The following is an 18,741-nucleotide window of genomic DNA, read 5'->3' on the forward strand; positions in this document are numbered from 1 at the left end:
GCCCCTCTCCCTGCAGCACGTGCCCACCCACTCCCAGGCTGAGGACACAAACCTGCTTGCCCCTGGGCCACGCTGTCCCGGCCAGGAATGGCCCCTGCGGCAGAGCCACTGTTTCAGGCTGGCCCAGAGCCCTTCGGAGAAGATGTCTCCAGCTTACTGCAGCCACATTTGAGGGTCCCCGCCACCAGCACGGGGAGAGGCAGGGGGCTGAGGCAGCTGGGAAGAGCGAGTGACACAGGGTATGTGCTGCCCCCACGGCACCTGCAGGCTGGCTGTGGACCCTCGCAGGCAGTGAGGGGCGAGTCTGCTCCAACCCCCACTCTCGGGGCAGCCTCCGGGGTGCCTGCTCCTGGGGCTGCCCACCAAGCAAGTGGCCGGGATGCCCACAGTGTGGGGGGGGGGCGGTCACCGAGACGCTGAGACGTACACAGGCTCTGACCTGAGAGAATTCTTTTTATTACGAGTGAACAGATGAACTAAGGTAAGCGGGTCTCAGCCTTCCGCTGGTGCAGCATCTCCACGCAGGGCCTCAGCCCCGTCCTGGCCTTGCCTGAGGACTGCACCATGGGTGTTCCTTGGGCATGGAGGAGGCAGCAGGAAGGGGTGACAGGAGCAGGAGCAGGTGCAGGGCACCTCACACCACAGGCCTCCCCCACCTCTGAGCTGCCAACAGCCAAGACTCCTGGCGAGGCCGGGAGAGGAGGGGTGAGAGGGAAGGAGGGTCTCTGTGAAAGCAAGCCCCACCCCCAGAGCAGAGCAGAGACCCAGGTCTGCAAATCACACCCTCCCCCCACGAGTTCCTCCTTTGAGGCCAGCAGCACCCGAGGGAGGGCAGGGGCTGCACGGAGACCAGAGAAAGGAAAACCCCACAGAAGAAAACTCAAAGCATCAGTCCCATGCGTGTCTGCTGAACGAGTGAATGGGCCCAAAGGCTCTTCTCTACAAACGGCACGCATCCATCCGACAGGGGGCCACAGGACACGGCCGGGGCCGTCTGCGTCTGTGCCTGTGCAGCCCACACCAGTGCAGCCCGGGGCCCTCTCAGACCTCACCACACGCGTGCCCAGCACATGTGTGCACACGCAGATGCAGGAGAGAACACACACCACCGTCTCTTTGCACACGTGTGCCCCTGTCCGGCCCGGGGGGCTCATCTCTCCTTCACGTGGTTCTGTGCTCCCGGGCCCCCGCTGCCGGCCCCATCCCCACTGCCCCCACTGTGGACCCCGCCGGCCCCGCTGCATAGCACCTCGGTGAGGTCGTCCATGATGGCGGTCTCTTTGGGGTCCAGCAGGTTGAACTCCCGAGCAAAGAGGATGAAGTGGACGTAGAGCGTGTTCAAGTGTCCGTGCAGCTCCAGGGCCAGCGTCTCCTTGAAGTGGGCCCAGTAGATGTGTGCCAGCACGTGGAACAGGTGTCTGCAGATCTTCCTCACCAGGGACTCAAAGGAGCTGGGGAATTCTCTGCCTGGGGAAGGCCACCGTGTCACAAGCTGCAGACATCCCTTGGCCCCAACAGAGGCCAGGCCCCTGGCACCCAGCCTGGTGGGTCTGGTACCTGCCACCCACACCTTGACCCTGCCACCCTCAGGGCCTACAAAGCCCCAGCAGCAACAGCTTCTGCCCATCAGCAGGCACCACAGGGACTTGCCAACCCCGGGTCTGGGCTGCTGAGACCTCCCTGCGTGCTCAGGCTCCGGAGGCTGCACCTGCCCTGAGGGCTGGGAGCTCGTTGGGCCATCCTGGCCACCTCCTCAGGAAGGGGCCTGTGATCGGGCACTCGGGCCCCCGTGGTGTCTCCCTGATGGACACTTGGGGCCATCTCCCGGGCCAGGACGGAGGTGGCGATGGTGGCACAGGCCTCTCCTGTTGTCCCCTGCCGTCCCTCTGGCAGCACGGGAGTGGCGTGGAGCCCCACCACATCCCACCAAAATCTGGACACAGGCTTGGCGGCTGATACCCAGCCCAAGTGCCCACAAGCTGGACGGTGAGAGCAGCATGAGCGGCAGAAACCAAGAGGGGCCCAGTGCAGCCGCATGGCCCAGAGGGCCAGGGAGATGGCCCTTGGCCCTGGCTGGGCTGACCCCTGCCCAAGGGCTCCGGCCTCACCCCACAGCCCAGGTGGCTCCATGCTAAGCAGGGACTGGGGTGGTGCAGCTGCCGCCCTCCGTGCCTCTGCCCCTCCCGGCACAGGAGCTTGGTCACTTGCAGACACGTCCTGAATGCTCCCTGCCCCACTGTGAGGATGACCGCCCAGTGCTGGGGGAGACGAACCGTATTTTGTGGGGAACACGTCCTCATCCGTCACCAGCTTCTGCACGGAGCTCATGACGAAGTCAACGTACTGTGGGGCCGTGCACTTGACCTTCTTCCCCCGCTCGTCATACCAGTAGTACTGTCTGTGGAGACAGAGACACGGTCAGGGCATGCGCCCGCTGCACACCCACCCAGCCACTGGGTCCCACCCGCTCAGGTCATCTGCGGGCAGAGGTGGCGCCAGCAGCGGAGGTGTGGCAGACCCAGGTGTCTCCCTCCCTGGACATGCACACTGTCCCCACACACTGTCTGCGGGGACCACACTGCACTCTATGGAGGGGTCTGCCTGCGCTGACTTAGAACTACGCCAGGATCACGCTGGGGAGCCTGCCAGCCACATGGCTGTACAGGTGTGTGATTAAATGAAGGGGTCATCTTCGTTTTCTCCGCTTCTACATGGCTTCAGTTGTATTCGTTTACACAAGTGCGTGCTGCTGTTTTTCTGTTGTATTTTGAAAGCACACAGAGGCTCCTTCTCTTCCCAGGAAGCTGTGCTGTGGCTCGCCGGCCAGGCCCCACCCTTTGGGAGAGCCCTGCTCTGACTGCTAGAAGCCAAGCCCCTCTCCGGGGAAAGCAGAGGAGGGCGGTGGTCTCTGTGGGTACCTGCGGCTAACAGCCTGGCCAGGACAGGGACCTGGCCCCCTCTTGCCCCTGTACACAAGGGCGGCCAGTCCTCATGTGAGACTCGTGGCCCCAGAGCAGGCTGGAGCATCCTAGGGACATGGACACCCTGGGTTTGCCTCTTACTGTTGGGTCCAGCCATGACAAGGGTGTGCTCTAGTTCATGTTAATATAAGGTGACCCCCAGCCCCTAACACCCCTCCTCCCCCAGCACAACACCAAAACCCAGGGCACCCACCTGGCAGCCACCACCCCTCTCCCCCTGCCACGGTGCTGGGTCTCAGTCCTCCAAGGCCATGCCCACAGCGGCCGCCCCCGCAGGCCTGAACCAGGGCATGCTGGGGCCGATGCCGCAGCCCCACCCACAGGCAGTGGAGAGTGCTGTGGTGGGAGTGCTCACACCTGAGACACAGCCAACACTATGGGTCGGGATTTCCTCCCTGAGAGCCAGCTCCCAGCTCACCACAGGTGGGAATGGGCCACACAGCACAGAGCAGTACTGGCCACTGAGCAAACGCCCCCTCCACACCATGGCCACAACCACCATCGCCTCCACTGCCCCAGCTAGACCAACAGGCAGTCTGCCAGTACCAGGCTCCACATGAACCGCTCCCACCCTCCTCATCCAGTCACGGTTCCTCTTGGAATGGCCCTGGGTGGGGCAGTGCTGAAAAGGATGGACCCAGGCTCCACTCTGGAGGCCACTCTTCTCTTGGCCAGCTCCAAGCATCGTGCCCTGGGTTCCAGAGCCCACCAAGGCACCTGGGGAGACGCCCCAAGGGCTGAGACAGGGCCACGGGGGGCTCGCCCACTTCCTGCGCAGCCAGAGAAGCCATCCTCCCAGCTGGGCACAGGGCCTCCAGTGTCTCCGGGCACAGGGCCTCCAGCGTCTCCGGGCACAGGGCCTCCAGCATCTCTGGGCACAGGGCCTCCAGCGTCTCTGGGCACCCCTCTGCTGTGTCCAAGAAGCCCCTCAGCCTGTGCACTGCAGATCCCGGGGGGAGTCACCAGAGTTACCAAGAAGCTAGAGGATGACACTGCAAGCCCTGCATGCTGGCACCCTGCCCTCTGCAACAGAAACAGCCATCAGGCCACCTCCCAGCACCACCAGGGCCCTAGGACAACCCCCTCCCAGCACCCACCTCCAGAATGCAAACCAGGAGCTCTCATGTGTGCCCTGTGCGGGGCTGACTCAGCCCACCCGAAGGGGAAGTGCAGCCCCAAAATGGACAGGCCATGAGGACGGGGATGCAGTGCCCACACCTGCCTCTCAGGTGCTGTCCTCCCCCTGGGACAGCTCTGCATGACCTTCACGCCCACCTTCCCAGGCTGCAGGCCTCACCGTGGGCATCGCCACCAGGCTGTCAGACCCTCTGAGAATGCAGAGACAACAGTCCTTTCAGCATCTGCTCCTCGAGAATGATGTAGAGGACGCACGTATCCCCACTGTCCTGGGGTTCCCAGATGGTGTAGGGGAGGCCCAGCCCCTAAGGGCCAGGCTGAGGCCCATGTTTCCAGGGCGAGGACCCAGCCAGGATGGCTCAGCACTCTGCAGGAGTCAGACACTGGCTCCAGGTACCCTGACACTGCAAGCTGACATCTGATGCACCTGGCCACAGGTGTGCGACAGGTCTCAAAACAGTGGAGGTTAGAGACGGAAACCCTTTTCCACAATGCAAACCCAGAGAAAGCAGTAACTCAGGGACACTGTGGATTGTCCCATCTGTTCTGAAAGATGGAACACCACTGTTTCCTGTACTTCTTCAATTATCAGTAAACCGTTTCTGGTATATAGTTCTAAGATTTTTATCCACATGTGGACTCACGCATTCATAACCACAATCAGGACACGCGGCGGCTTACGTGGCCCCTCACACCCGTGCTGCTGTGCCCCCAGCACCCCGGGGATGGCTCCTCAGGGATGGGCCGCGGGAAGGAATCGCACCGCGCGGATCCTCCCGATCTGGGCCCCTCTTGCACGGAGGCCCCTGGGATGCAGTCACGTGGCAGACGTGTCGGAAGTCCACGGCTCCTCACTGCCCAGACACTGCCCCTGCAGAGATGGACATGGCGTGCTCATCTATTCACCTGTGTCCCTGCCAGCAGAACAGAGTCCCAGGTGGCCACATCCTGGCCAGCACCAGTGTCCCGACCGGCATGTGGGCAGGTGGACATGGGTCTGCCCATGGTTTCGGCTTGCCTTTCTCTAATTGCTAACAACACAGGATAGCCCCAGCTGCCATCCTTACACCCTCTTTGGCAAACTGTCTGCTCATTTCTTTTGCTGACAGTTAACTGGACTGTTTTGTTTTCTTACTGCTGAGTTGTGTATGTTCTTTATGTATTCTGGATATCAGTCCTTTGTGGGATGTGTGATTTGCAAATGTTTTCTCTCCCAGCCTGGAGTTTGTCTTCTTTCTCTTAAAAGTGTCTTGAAGCAAAAGTTCTGAATTTTGCTGCCTAGTGTCAGGTCATAAGGATTTCCTATGGTTTCTTCCAAAAGCTTTGGAGTTTTAGATGTTTGCACGAGGCATGAGGGATAGGTCAGCGTTTGGTTTTTGACACAAATGACTGCTTTTCCCAGCAGCATTTTTGAACAGACTACCCTTTCTCCCTTGAATTTATTTTGCTCTTTGTCAAAACTCTGATGGCCCCGTTTGTGTGGGTCTATCTCCGGACTCTCCATCCACACGTTTGTGTGGGGCTGTCTCCGGACTCTCCATCCACACGTTTGTGTGGGTCTATCTCCGGACTCTCCATCCACACGTTTGTGTGGGGCTGTCTCCGGACTCTCCGTCCACACGTTTGTGTGGGGCTATCTCTGGACTCTACTGTGTTCCATGGAGCTCTGTATCCATTCCTTCAACACTGCACACTGTCTTAATTACTAGAGTTTCACAGTAAGTCTCAAAAGTGTGAGATTCCTCTTATTTTTTCAAAATCATTGTAGCTATTTCAGTTAATTTGTCCCTCCATATAAATTTTAGAACTAACTGGTCTATACTTGAACTCTGCTGGGATTTGGATTGAGACTGCACTAAATCAACAGATCAGTTTGGGGGAGAATTTGTGTTTGGAGTCATCTTCCAGGTGATAAACGCAGTGCGTCTCTCCATTTATGTAGACCTTCGATTTTCTGTAACAGCATTTCGTAGTTTCCAGGGTGCAGATCCTGGGAATGTCTTGTTAAGTTTATAACTAAGGATCGCATTATTTTTGGAGCTATTATAAATGGCATGTTAAATATTAATTTCAGTTTTAAATTTCACATTGCTAATATACAGACCTATGACTGATTTGTGCGTGTTGACCTCACTAAATTTATATTATTATTTGCTACAATCCTTGAGGTTTTCCCAATCACACGTGTGCACAGGGATACAGCAATCCCCCCCATCCACAGGGGATGCACTGCAAGACCCCCAGGGGATGCCTGAAGCCACAGAGAGCACCAAACCCTATATATGCTGCGCTTTCTCCTATACATACATTACTAAAATAAAGACAGGCAGACTTGATTGATTGACTGAGATAGGGTCTCGCTGTGTTGCTAAGTTAGTCTCGAACTCCTGAAGTGATCCACCGCCTCAGCCTCCTGAGTAGCCAGGATTACAGGTGTGAGCCACCACACCCAGTGTAATTCATAAACTGAGGACAATCAGTTGCAGTGAGTGGCTGGGGTCGCATATCAGGGGGTCCCTTGCTGGCCTCCTGCAGGCTCAATGGCAACACGCTGCTGCTCCCATCCTCTCACCTCCTCCACCCACAGATCCAAGTACTCAACACGCACTGTGGCTGTCACTTTTGCAATTTCAGATGTAACAGCGAAATTAAAGGGACTTTTTTTCCCTTTTTCACAATTTCATAAAGAAGAGATTTGTTCTTACCTTAGATCTTAGCAACCTCACACACAATCTGTTTCTTTCTAGTCAGGAACTTTCACCTTTTCATCTTTAGGTCAAGGAAGTGCTTTCTGTCTTCTCTTTGGCATATCTGAATTGCCAGCATCACGCTCTTGCGCTTTGGGCCGCCTCATGTCACATAAGAGCAACCTGAGCACGAGCACCCTGGCACTGCGGCAGTGGATCCACACGGGGGCCGAGGCACAGCTGGGCCGAGGGAGGAGGAGGCACACCTGGAGCAGGACGGTGGAGACCGCATCACACTGCTCAGAACAGCATGCAGTTGAAAACTTATTAACTGTTTATTTCGGGAATTTTCCATTAACTATTTTCAGACCATAGTTGACTGTGGGTAACGGAAACTGTAGATAAGGGGGGCTTATTGTTTTATTTCTTTTCCAATTTGGATGCCTTTTATTCTTTCTTCTTACCTTATGGCACTGCCTATCTTAGGCGAGTTCTGATATACTGCGCTTTCCAAAGAGTTGGTCCATTTAACCCAAGCCATAGAATTCATGTGCACAGAGGGTTTTTTTCCAATACTTCCTTATTATCCTTTTAACATCCACTGGGTCTACAGTGATACTCCTCTTTACATCCACAGGGTTTAGTGACACTCACTCCTTTTTATTGATCATTGCATCTTCTCTCTTATCTTTGTACCTACTAAAGGCTTACCAATTTATTACCTTTCAAAGTCATCACATTTTGATTTCACTCATTTCCCCTATTGTTTTAAAAATCAATCTCAGTGCTTTCTGTTCTTATTTACTTTCTTGTCCTTGATTTTGACTTATTTTGCTCTTTTTCTAGTTTAAGTTGGAAACGTAGATTACTGAAAGTCATCTTCTTTTTCTAAGAAAGCATTAATCCTATAAATCCCCTCTAGGCACTGCTTGAGTTATGTCTCACAAATTCTGACATGCTGTATTTTCCTGTGTACAGTTTGTTAAAGTTTTTTTGTTGAGGCATCCTCTCGGACCCATGGACTACTCAGAATTGTATTAGTCTGCAAGTGTTTGGAGACTTTCCTGTTCTCTGTTACTGATTTCTAATTTAACCCCACCATGGTCAGAAAACTTACTTCGTATGGTTTTGATTTTTTAAAATTTGTTAAGGGCTCTTTTGTGACAGGTATGCTCCATCTTGGTGGCTAATCTTTGTGAAGTTGAAAAGATGGGTGTTCTGCTGTTGAGGCTGCAGTGCATGTGTCATTTCAATCCAACCCACGGGTGGGGTCATCGGGCTCCGTGCTCTCGCTGACTGTCTATGAGGCTCCATCACTGAGGAGAGGGCTGCAATCCCCGGCGATCATGTGATTTCTACACAGGCCGTCCGTTTGCTTTGTGTGGAAAGCCCTGTTGTCTGGCGCACACACATTTATGGCAGGATTTCTTCAAGAGCTGCTCCTTTTCTAATTAGATAACCTTCTTATTCCTGGTCACTTCCTTCCTCGGAGTCTCCTTTGGCACTGACATAGCCACTTCCGCTTCCTTCTGATGGGTGTTTTCTCAGCACATCTTGTCCTCTTACTTCTCACCCGCCTGCACCACAGCACCTAGAGTGGTGTGACACACAGGGTGCTTATGCCCCACATTCCTATGTTGAAAGCTTAACCCCAGACGCAAGGGTATCTGGAGATGGGGCCTTTGGGAGGCGATGAGGTTGCAAGGGTAGAACGCTCATGAACAGAACTGGTGGCTCCGTCGCCCTGCCTTCCTTCCAGCAAGAAGGTGCTGTCTGTGGACCAGGAAAGGGACCCTCACCAGACACTGAATCTGGCTAATCAGATCCAGTGACGTGGTCAGTGCCCCCTTCCTGGTCCACAGTGGATCTTCACCTTGGACTTTCAGCTTCCAGAACCGCAAGAAATAAGATTCTGTTGTTCACAAGCCACCTAGCCTATCATGTTTCGTGACAGCATCCCGAATGAAATACAACAAATGAGCTTCTTGTAAACACCAGAGAGTTGGTTATTTTAAAAATACATTCTCATAAGCTGCCCAGTCCCGTCTGTTCATCTGTTAGCATTTAGGTTTTCCACTATTTGCTGTTTGTTGCCTCTGTTTCTCATTCCTTATGGTATTTCTTCTTTCCTGCTTTCTCTTGGGCCACTGAAATGTTTTTGTATTTCATTTAAATTTACCTATTCTGATTCTGACTGCGTCTCTTCACATAAGCTCTGCAAGGCCTGCTCAAAGGGCTGTAACACGCAACTCAACCCCACATGCTCTCCATGGCACCCACACATGTGCTTCCACTGGAGCATAGCAGCTCTCTTGCCCACAGCCCCACCGCCGCCAGGCCCCACAGCCGCCACAGCCCCACCGCCACCACAGGCCCCACGGCCGCCCTGGAAATGGCACTGCACAGGCCCCACGGCCGCCCTGGGAACGGCACTGCACAGGCACTGCCGGACACTACTCTTGTCTTCTTGCACCATCACTGGCGTCTCCACAAACACTCAGTGGGAGGAGGCCCTCCTGTTGGGAGAACTCTGCAGGGAGCCTCTGGAACAGGTCTGCTGGCTGTGAGGGCTCTTGGTTTTGAGTGACTTTGGACACTGACTGGATGTGGAATTCTGGGATGACCTTTCTTTTCTCCCAGCACTGGAAGATGTGTGGGGCTTCCTTCTTCCTTCTGGCCTCCTGGGTTTCTAAAAGTGCCACGGTCATTCACTGCGGCATCTGTTGTCAGTACCAGGCCACCGCCGTCTGACTGCTGACAGAGGATGGCTGCCAAGGGCTTTTTCTTTGCCCCCAGTTCTCAGCATTTGGTTGCATGCATCTGCACGTGTCTGTGAGCCTTATTTGGGGTTTGCTTAGCTTCTTAAGTCTGCAGGTTTGTGTCTTTGTGGGAAGTTCTCAGCCATTATTGCTGCAATGTGTTTCCGGCCCCGCCCCCTTTCTCGTCTCCCTAGGAGTCAGACATCAGCCTTTTTGGGACTGTCCTACAGGCCCTAGCAGGGAGGAGACGCGCCTCAATCCCAGAGCCCTCACACGACCCAGGCAGACTTGCTGGTCTTTTGGGTGGCAAGTGGCCCTGAGGCCCTCTGAGAAGTCTCCATGTTTCTCTTAGTTTGAGTGGATTTCTGTCCCTTGGTTTGAAAGGATTCCTGGAAAGGCATTACATGCAATTAATTCACACACATCTACTACCACCATGATGCCAGCTCCAGATGAGAAGGACCAAGAGGCAAATCTGGGTGGCCTAGGCCCTCCAAGGGGACATAGGTCTGCCCAACACCACATCCTACACTCCTCCAAGGACCCCTTTTCCAAACCAACCCAGTACCACAGAACATGCAGGAGCAGAGCCTCTGGGAAGGGTGCCAGGCCCCGTCTGCCCAGGAGCAGAGGCGCTGAGCCAGCACTTGGCCACAGGTGGCTCCAGAGCCACAGTGGACACAAGGCTCTCGAGTAGCTCTCGGGTGCTGCCCTGCCACCTCAGGACCCATCTCCATGCCTGATCCATGGAGGCCACCGCCGTCTCACATTGAGCTTGCTCCCCTCAAAGCCATAAGCACTGTCCCCATCTTCCTGGGCCATGCCTGGCTGTGACACCTCATTTTCCTGGGGAATTAAGACAGTGAAGCCAGCTGTTGTCTGTACCTGCCCCGGTGTCACCCATAACCAAACCAAGCTGTGACCCATCATGGCCATGAGGGCAGGGCCCAGCAGGACTGAAGCCAAGGGGACGCCTGCCAGCTGCCTGTGCAGAAGCTCCCCTTGGCTTCTTGAAGGCAGAACTCAGCTTTGTCTGGGGACCACGTCTCCCTGTGCCAGGGCCAGGAAAGCCATGTCTGTGGGCAGGATGACTTTCAGGACGCACTCACAGGCACACATTCTGTCCCTGACCTGTGTGCACTGACAACAACGGGACATCAGGGAAAAGCTTCCGCCCTCCTCAGCCGCACATGTCCCAGGCTAAGCCCAGCAGACCCAGCCTCCTCCTGCCTGCAGCCTCCAAGGCTGCTTTCAGCAACCCAGGCCTGGCGGCGCTCCTTCCCATGCTACGCAAGTGAGGTGCTCAGGGCCACTAACGGACACCCATTTACTGAGGAAATCAGGGTGCAGTGCTTCCAGGAGAGAGCTACCAGCACCAGGCATGTTGGATGGTCACGGAGAAGGTAACTGAGCCCCCATGAAATGAATGGCCGAGCAAGGACCTGTGGCCTGCCCAGCCCAGCCCTCACTGTCCCATCCAGAGCTGTCACGGGAGCCAGCGGAGAAGGGCTCTCTGCAATCTTAGGGCATTCCTTCTGGAAACGTCTCTGTCCCTAGAAACATAGCCCATCAACCCCCACCAGCTCCTGCACCTTCTGGGCCCCACTGGGGACCTGGGTAGCTGGGCCACTGGCCCAGCCTGTGGCCTTTCCACAGGAAGGTGGATGTTGTGGAAGGCCTGTGCCAAGACTTCTCAGGGTCTCCAGGTGAGAACGGAATCTGAGAGGACAGGAGCCTGGGGCAGCGGGGGCTCAGAGCCCCACCGAGTCTCCCAAGAGAAAGTGGGCTGTAGCCAGGCAGCACTCACGTGTTGCACACGGCCATCGTCTGACACGTCTCTCCTGTGCAGAACTCGGAGATGGTGCTATACTGCAGGTTGATGTGGTGGAAAAACGTCGTGGCTGGAAGAGAAGAGAAGGAGCCAGATGTGAAAAACGCCAGAGCTGAGCCGCCCCGTCCACCCCTGCTTCCAGCAACAGGTGCAGGAGCTCGGCTGGGTGAGCTCTGCCCGTCCACGGGCCACATTCTCCCCTCGCGGCAGGGGGCTGCTGAGCACCAGCCGTGGGGGTCCCCCTTGAGGAGGGGCTTCGAGGAGGAGCAGGGAGGAGGGAGGGGGCCCGCCCCCAGGCCCCCGCGCACTGTTGCTGGCCAGCCACTCGTTAAGGTCAATCTCGCGGGGCAGCACCACCAGCTCCTTGAACTGGAAGTCGGTGATCCTGGCCTTGGTGTGCTCAGGCTCCAGGTAGGCCTTCCTCTCCTCCGCAGCGGGCTTCTTGCCATTAGGCTTGGCTTTGGACTTCCTGCCAAGAGAGGAGACGCGGTGTGGTCACTACACGCCCATCAGACCCAGGGTCTGCCCGGGGGGTCAGTTGTGGCCAGCGCAGGTGTAGAGGGAGCTGCCCGAGCCCATCGGGGCGACACTGCCTCCCTGCCAGGCTCAAAGGACACCAACGGGACACCAACGGTGAGGCTGCTCCGCAGAGGGGCCAGTGGAGCTGCCTTGCGTGGCACCTCCTGGGAAGAAGGGCTGGCGCTCCCACTTGCCACACGGGCCCCTGCACGGAGGGCATCCTCACCCCTCACCAAGTCCTCCAACCAGGGAGGGGCCCAGGGTTTAGGGCCCCCAGCGCCCACCTTCCAGTTTTCCAGTGCTCTTGGAAGGAAAGGAGAAGCAAACCCTCTCACTCCTGGCTTCTTTTGAGTTGGCCAGCCTGTCCCTGCCCCTGCCGCTGGTGGCCCCGGTGAAAACATACCACAGGCCTTGTGCAGGGCACCTGCCTTCCTGGCCAGCCTGAGAGCACGGGGCCCCTGGCATCAGGCGGCAGCCTGGCCTGCAGCTCCAGTATCCCTGTTGTCCACCAGGCCTGGGGAGGCCACAGGGTGATGAGGATGGGGGCCAAAGGTCTTTGTGGCAACCTGACCCTGTCCTTATTTTTTTTCTTTCTTGTTTTGAAAAGTTGCTAATGGTTTATTTAAGAGAAAGAGAAAGGAAAAATGCTCCCTGAATGCCAGGGAAATGTTTCCCTTTCAGCTTCTCACAGCAGATCTTCGCCTTAAAAGGAGACCAGCGCAGGCCTCTGGGGGCAGTGCTGGGAGTAGCCAGAGCCAGGCAGGGAGCAGGGGCAGGAGCAGGGGCAGGGGCAGGGGCAGGGGCAGGGAGGGGCAGGGGCAGGGGCAGGGAGGGGCAGGGGCAGGGCCCCTGGGCCCTGGCACTCCCACTCTGCCATCTCTCCAGAGCACAGGGCGTGGGGTCTGAGGAAGAGGAAGCACAGGTGTGGATGGGCCACATGCAGCGTGGGCACTTGGGGTCCTCACAGTACAGGGGTGGGACAGACAGGGTGAGCTTCCGTGTAGCCTGCAGCCCCTCGCCCCAGCACAGCGAGGCACCCAGACTCCACACCAGCCTGTGCCAGGCCATGCCCAGCGTGTCCACCACAGGGAAGGCTCTCCCCATGACGCTGGGCCTGGCCCTGACCACCGGCAGGTGGGCCTGCACCTCCCTGCCCTGTGCTCTCACAGCACAGCACACCACACCCCACCCGGGCAGCTACAGCCTGGGCTCGGCCTTCCCATTTGGAGGGGTGGGTTGCAGTGGCCCAGGCTGCCAAGCGGGCTACAAGCCGTCTCCCTGCTCTGTGTCTTAGGAGCTGTGTCAACTGGCAAGCTCCAGGTGGCAGTTACCTGGTGGTCGGTCACGCAGGGCTGCCAGCAGGAGCAGCTGTCAGCGCGCTCACTCTCAGGGTGTGCCCCAGGGCCCACTCAGGGAGGCTGCCCTACTGGCAGTTCCTGCCCCCTTGCCAGCCTTCCAGGCTGGGGCTACCTTCCACCTCCGGTCCTCAGAGAGGGCTGGGCAGGGGCAGAACCTGGAGACCTGGCTTCCCTCTCCCAGGCTCTGGCTGTGGTCAGGAGGTAGTGAGCAGCCGCCACTCCGGCACTGGCACCTCAGCCTCCCTGCCTCTTCCCGTCCACACCTGCTCTCCTAGAACACAGAAGAAAAGTACGCACGAGGCCCTCCAGGCTGGGCCTCCCCGAGCTGCTCCCCCAGTCTCACCCTGTCCCCAGCACCCAGGGCTGGCCGGGCCCCGGAGCTTAGTGCACTGTGAGACAAGCCTCCTGCAAGCCTACCTTCTTTGGACCGGGTCACTCATTCCCATGGGGCAGGTGGACGGGCACTGGCCCAAAGGTAGTAGGACCAAGGGGACGCGCAGGACATGGCCTCTGCTCCAGGAACGGCTGTGCGGGCACCAACAGAGGGACTTCCATGGGAAAGCCCCGAACGCCTGGCAGCACCCACGTCTCCCTGACCTCAAGTGCCCTCCTTCCCAGAAGGGCAGGCTCTCAGCGAAGGCCCAGGCCTGGGCAGGAAGCAGTCACTCTGAGGCAGCCCATTGCTCGGTCCAAGCCAGCGGCAGCTACCGAGGAGGCCTCAGAGCACACGACACCTCCATGGCACTCTTCTCGTCCTTAGTCATTCTTGGCTTTGCCCAGTGGAGAAAACACCTCTGCGGCGCCCCCCGCAGGCTCACAGGCTCTGAAACAGGCTCTGTGCCGTCCAGGCCCAGAGGTCTGCCCAGTCACTGCCTCAGTGGCCCAGCTGCCCCTCACCCAGGGAAGTGCCGAGGCCCTGCGCCCTGCTCCCAGCTCCCCCTGTGCTGCTGGCTAGGAGCCCCGGGGCACAGAAAGACCAAGTCCTTCGATGTGGAGGGAGGACTGTGGGAGCAGGCCCCGGCCGCAGGCAGGACAGAGATGGCGCTGAAGGGACTGGGGAGTGGACCCTGGACCTCAGCCCACCCACAGGGCTTCCGTGACCACTTGGAAGAAGCAGAAGGGCAGATGCTGTGTGCACAGCCCCCAAAACAAAGTCCCTCACACTATTCCAACAGGTGGGCTCTGAGCCTGGGTCCTGCCTGGCAGGCACCATGCACTTAGGAGGGCCGGGCCAGATGGAACCACCTCCTTCCTGCCTCCCACACACTCACCAGCCTCACCTCCCTCCTCCCTGCTCTAGATGACCTGTCCTGCCTGCCACAGGGGTCTGCACCCTGTTTGTGGGCACCAGCTGCTGCTCTGCCAACTTGCCCATCTTACACCAGGCCTAGCAAACTTCTCCTGGTCCTTTAAGAGCCTGTCAAATGCCACCCTCCCCATTCTCGCCAGTGGTACCCATGACGTGCCAGTCGGCCTCCTTGGCACCCAGCACGTAACTGATCCCTACTGGGAAGTGAGGCAATCCCTGCTAGACACAAATTTGGTGGGCAAGGGAAGGGGCACAGGGAGGCATCAGAGCTGCTGGGCTCCCGTGGAAAACTTAGACAACCACACAGTCAACACACAGGGGGTCTCACCCTGCCCACAGCAGGTGCACACTGCTTCACAGGCAGGGGGAGCTGGGGAGTGGGCTGGGAGCCGCCCACTCCTCATCCGCCCTGAGGGACGAGGACAGCACAACCGAGTGCCCTGCACCTTTGCCACGAGTGTCAACTTCATTATCACAGGGATGGAATCCTGGCCAGGCCCCACGGCCCACAGGAATGGGGTGCTCCAGGCTCAGAGACCCCCACTCGCCCAGAGCACGCTTGCTATGGAAGTCGAGCCTGTAGACCCTGAGGTGAGTGGGCAGCAGCAGGAGGTGGCCCTCATCTGGCACTTCCCACCACAGGTCAACGCCAAGGGGTGGGGCAGGCACGAGGGGCCCAGAAATACAAGTCCCCAAGCCCAGGCCTGGAAAATACGGTGACCAGGCAGCGTGTGGGGTGCAGGAGAAAGGCCCGCAGGTGACGCCTCTGAGGAGGGCATGGTCCTTGGACCCCACTCAGCCATCTGCACCGGGCCCCTCATGCTCCTTGGTTCGGGTGAATGTCAGTGCTGGTTGGTCCACCCAGAGCCTGAAAGTCAAGGCTCCCAGTGACCCCTTCCCCCAAGACCCGGCCAGGCAGAGCCCCCAGTAGCCACCCGGTACAGAGCCTGGGTCTCAGCACACCTTGCTGCCCAGGGTGCACGCCACGGGCACCTCCTGTCACCCCAACATGCAGGGAGGGCACCACATGCTGGGGTGCTTGGCGCCACCCCCACCCCTACATTTCTGATGTGGCCTTCTGGGTGTTGAGGGGGGGCCTGAAAACTGCATTTCTAACACCGTGTTCTAACCCGAGTTCTCCCTGGGTGCTGATCCCACTTCTGTCACACGGCCTCAGGCTGAGGGGTGGGAAGGCCTCCGGAGCCCCTGTCCATCTCTCAGCACAGCCTGCACTGCCCACAGGCTTCAGCCAGCTGGAAGCTGTGGAGTGTGGCTTCTTTTCTTCTGAGTTTAATTGTCTGCCCCCCCAAACAGGTCAGCAGCCCCAGACAAAGCGAGCTTTTACCAGCCTACTGTGCCCTCTGCAGAGGCCCATTGAGAAGGAAAAAGCCAAGATGGCACAAGGAACGCCCGCAGACATCCCAGACCAAACGTCCAAACAGGCAGGTGCTGCTGCTGTCCTAGAACCTCAGCCCCACGTGGCCACCATGCTCCACTGCGCCTCGGCCCCTCCATGCATCCAGCTCCCAGCCAAGGTGGCTTCCTCATCGCTTCCTTTGAAACCTTCCTGAGCCCCAGGGAAGGGACTCCGCCCGTCTTCCTTAGGGCCTGGCTGGGCTCCAGGCCTGCCTCTGTGTCTCCTGTGGAGCTGCCTTCGGCATTTGGCCTCAGACACACAAGCACACACTGGCACAGGCACACACACACACACGCCAGTCCCCTCACACCACTGATGTCAGGCACCATTCCTGATTTGAACTCACGAGTACTGCCAACTTGCCCACACATTTCCAAAACCTCACAGTTTCACCTTAAGATAGGACATCCTAGGCAGGGTCACCGGCCGGCACTCTTGTGTCTACTTGTGGAGCCCTCCCTGTTGAATGCACAGGTGATCGGGAGATAGGGAAGGAGCCTATGAAGAGAAAGATGGAGCCGGGTGCCCAGGGACAGGCAGAGGCACGGAGATGCACACGGGTGCCGCAGCCCCCGGCCCTTGGAGGGCACGTCCAGCAGGCCACGCTCGCCTCACACCCCCACCAGGCAACCCCACCCGGGAGGACACACTCACTGCTGCAGCTGGCTGTGCCTGCCCCACTCCCCCGGCCCCTCATGCCCACACACGGGTGCACACTCCCACACACACGGGTGCACGCTCCCACACACTTGGGCGCACACTCCCACACACGCCCCTGCACACACCGAGCTGAGTGGTGTGGGCAGGGAGGCACCCCCGCAGCAGGTCAGAGAAAGTACAGGTGAGAAAAATGTCAAAAATGGATTTTCCGGCAACATCCCTATGGCAGCCAGCACAAAAATAGGCACCCGGGAACCCCATGCCACTTCTCTGGACAAGGCCACACAAGGACAGACTCCGGGTCACCTCTGCCTGGGTGGCTGAAGCCCCTGCCCAGGGCACAAACAGCCGCACGCTGGGACAAAGACAGGCACACCTGCTGGCGGCTGAGGAACCACACCCTGTGGGTTGCGGGAGGACAAGGCAGGCTCCTGTGCCGGCAAGGTGGGGTCAACCCCGAAGGTCGAGGACACCAAGACCCGCTCCTCTCCCACAGAGCAACAGGAAGTGCAGGCGGCTAAGGAAAGCCCCACTGGGCAGGGCTCCAGAGCAAACCCGCCAGGCTGGCCCGGGACTGCACAGCCGCCTCTGCCCTGGACAGCTTGCGTGTGGCCCAGCACAGCTCGCTGCACAGCCGCCGGCCACACTGGGAGGGCAGCCACGGACACAGTCCGCCGCCTCCCCACCCTGACCTCCTTCCTGGGGGCAAGAACAGGGCAGACAGATGTGCTACACACCCCTCCCCCAGCCAGGCTGGCAGGTGTTACCTGAGCACTTTGCTGACAGCCTGAAGCACCATTTTGCAGCAGAGTCCACTTTGCAGGGACTGGCCGGGCCGGGCTTGGTCTTCAGGGAGACTGCAGTGGTCTCCCAGCATGAGTGGGCGACGGGAAGGTGGGGAGGAGAAGCGGGGCGGGGTGCCGGCTGGCCAGCACTCGCAAATGCCTGCTGCCGGGCCCTCCAGCCTCACTCCCTGGCCAATGGGACGCCTGGCAGAGACAAACAGCTGCCCCCTTTCCAGAGGCAAGGGCTGGCCAAGGCTGGTGAAACGAGGGAGCGTCTGAATTGGCCTTTTCCAAGTGGCATGGCTGCCAGAAGAGGCGGTGGGGGTGGGACCAGAAGGGAGGGGACAGGGCCGTCCTTGGCCTGCAAGAAGGGTCCATCAGAAAGGTCCTGGGCTCCACCTCAGGCTGCCAGAAGAGGCGGTGGGGGTGGGACCAGAAGGGAGGGGACAGGGCCGTCCTTGGCCTGCAAGAAGGATCCATCAGAAAGGTCCTGGGCTCCACCTCAGGCTGCCAGAAGAGGCGGTGGGGGTGGGACCAGAAGGGAGGGGACAGGGCCGTCCTTGGCCTGCAAGAAGGATCCATCAGAAAGGTCCTGGGCTCCACCTCAAGGTCCTCTGCTGCCAAGCCCCCAGGAAAGGCCTTCTGAACACAGGCAGCAACTCTGCTGACGAGCTCCAGGTCGATGGCACTCCCCTCTCCCTTGTCCGGCCCAGCCTAGCCCAGTCAGTGCTCGGGCCAGGGACGGACAGACGGACAGACAGATGGGCCGCCCTGCCCTGCAGTGTGTACGCAGCTGGAGGCACTCAAAGTGGCTTTCCTGCTGGATGGCCCTGGAGAGAGAAGGGGCCGACCAGCTTCTGCGGTGCCTGGACGGTGCTGGGCTGAGGCTGCTGCCAGCCAGGACCACAGGGCACCCAGCCCAACAGAAATGCCCACAGCAGCTCCCCATGGGGGCGCACAGAGCGGCACGGCCCCGGCCTTCCTTCTGGCTGGTCTGCACACAGGAGACCACCACATCCTGAAAATGCAAACACCTGAGAGGGCAATGCTCTCTCCTCATCCTGAGTCAGCGTGGACCCCACTGGCAGTGACAGCCCCCTGACAACACGGGGTCATCAGGAGCATCCCCCACCCGCATGGGAGCCATACTTCCTGTGCTTCCTGCCAATCAAGAGACCCCAGCATCTCCAGCCACTGCCCCTCAGAAGCTGTCCCAGCACCTCTGTCGGTGTGAAGCCCTGTAGGAGTCAGGACACAGCCTGAGGTACCAGCTGCTGCGGGGAGCACAGAGCCATCAG

The 18,741-nt window shown here is 58.6% G+C and overlaps 1 protein-coding gene across 2 annotated transcripts; it reads right to left on the minus strand.

The window, feature by feature from the left end:
• Positions 1–426: 426 nt before the first annotated feature.
• MOB2 (MOB kinase activator 2) lies at positions 427–17,758 on the minus strand (the record flags this gene model as incomplete). 2 transcript variants are annotated; one of them, NM_001172223.3, is made up of 5 exons in its annotated part: positions 436–1,467; positions 2,274–2,398; positions 11,372–11,465; positions 11,704–11,864; positions 17,426–17,758. In NM_001172223.3, 5 exons carry the CDS (start codon positions 17,533–17,535, stop codon positions 1,151–1,153), a joined length of 807 nt encoding a protein of 268 aa, NP_001165694.1. In that variant the 3' UTR covers positions 436–1,150.
• Between the last annotated feature and the right edge of the window lie 983 nt (positions 17,759–18,741).

This window comes from Homo sapiens, chromosome 11 (genome assembly GCF_000001405.40).
Source record: "Homo sapiens chromosome 11, GRCh38.p14 Primary Assembly".
NCBI lineage: Eukaryota > Metazoa > Chordata > Mammalia > Primates > Hominidae > Homo > Homo sapiens.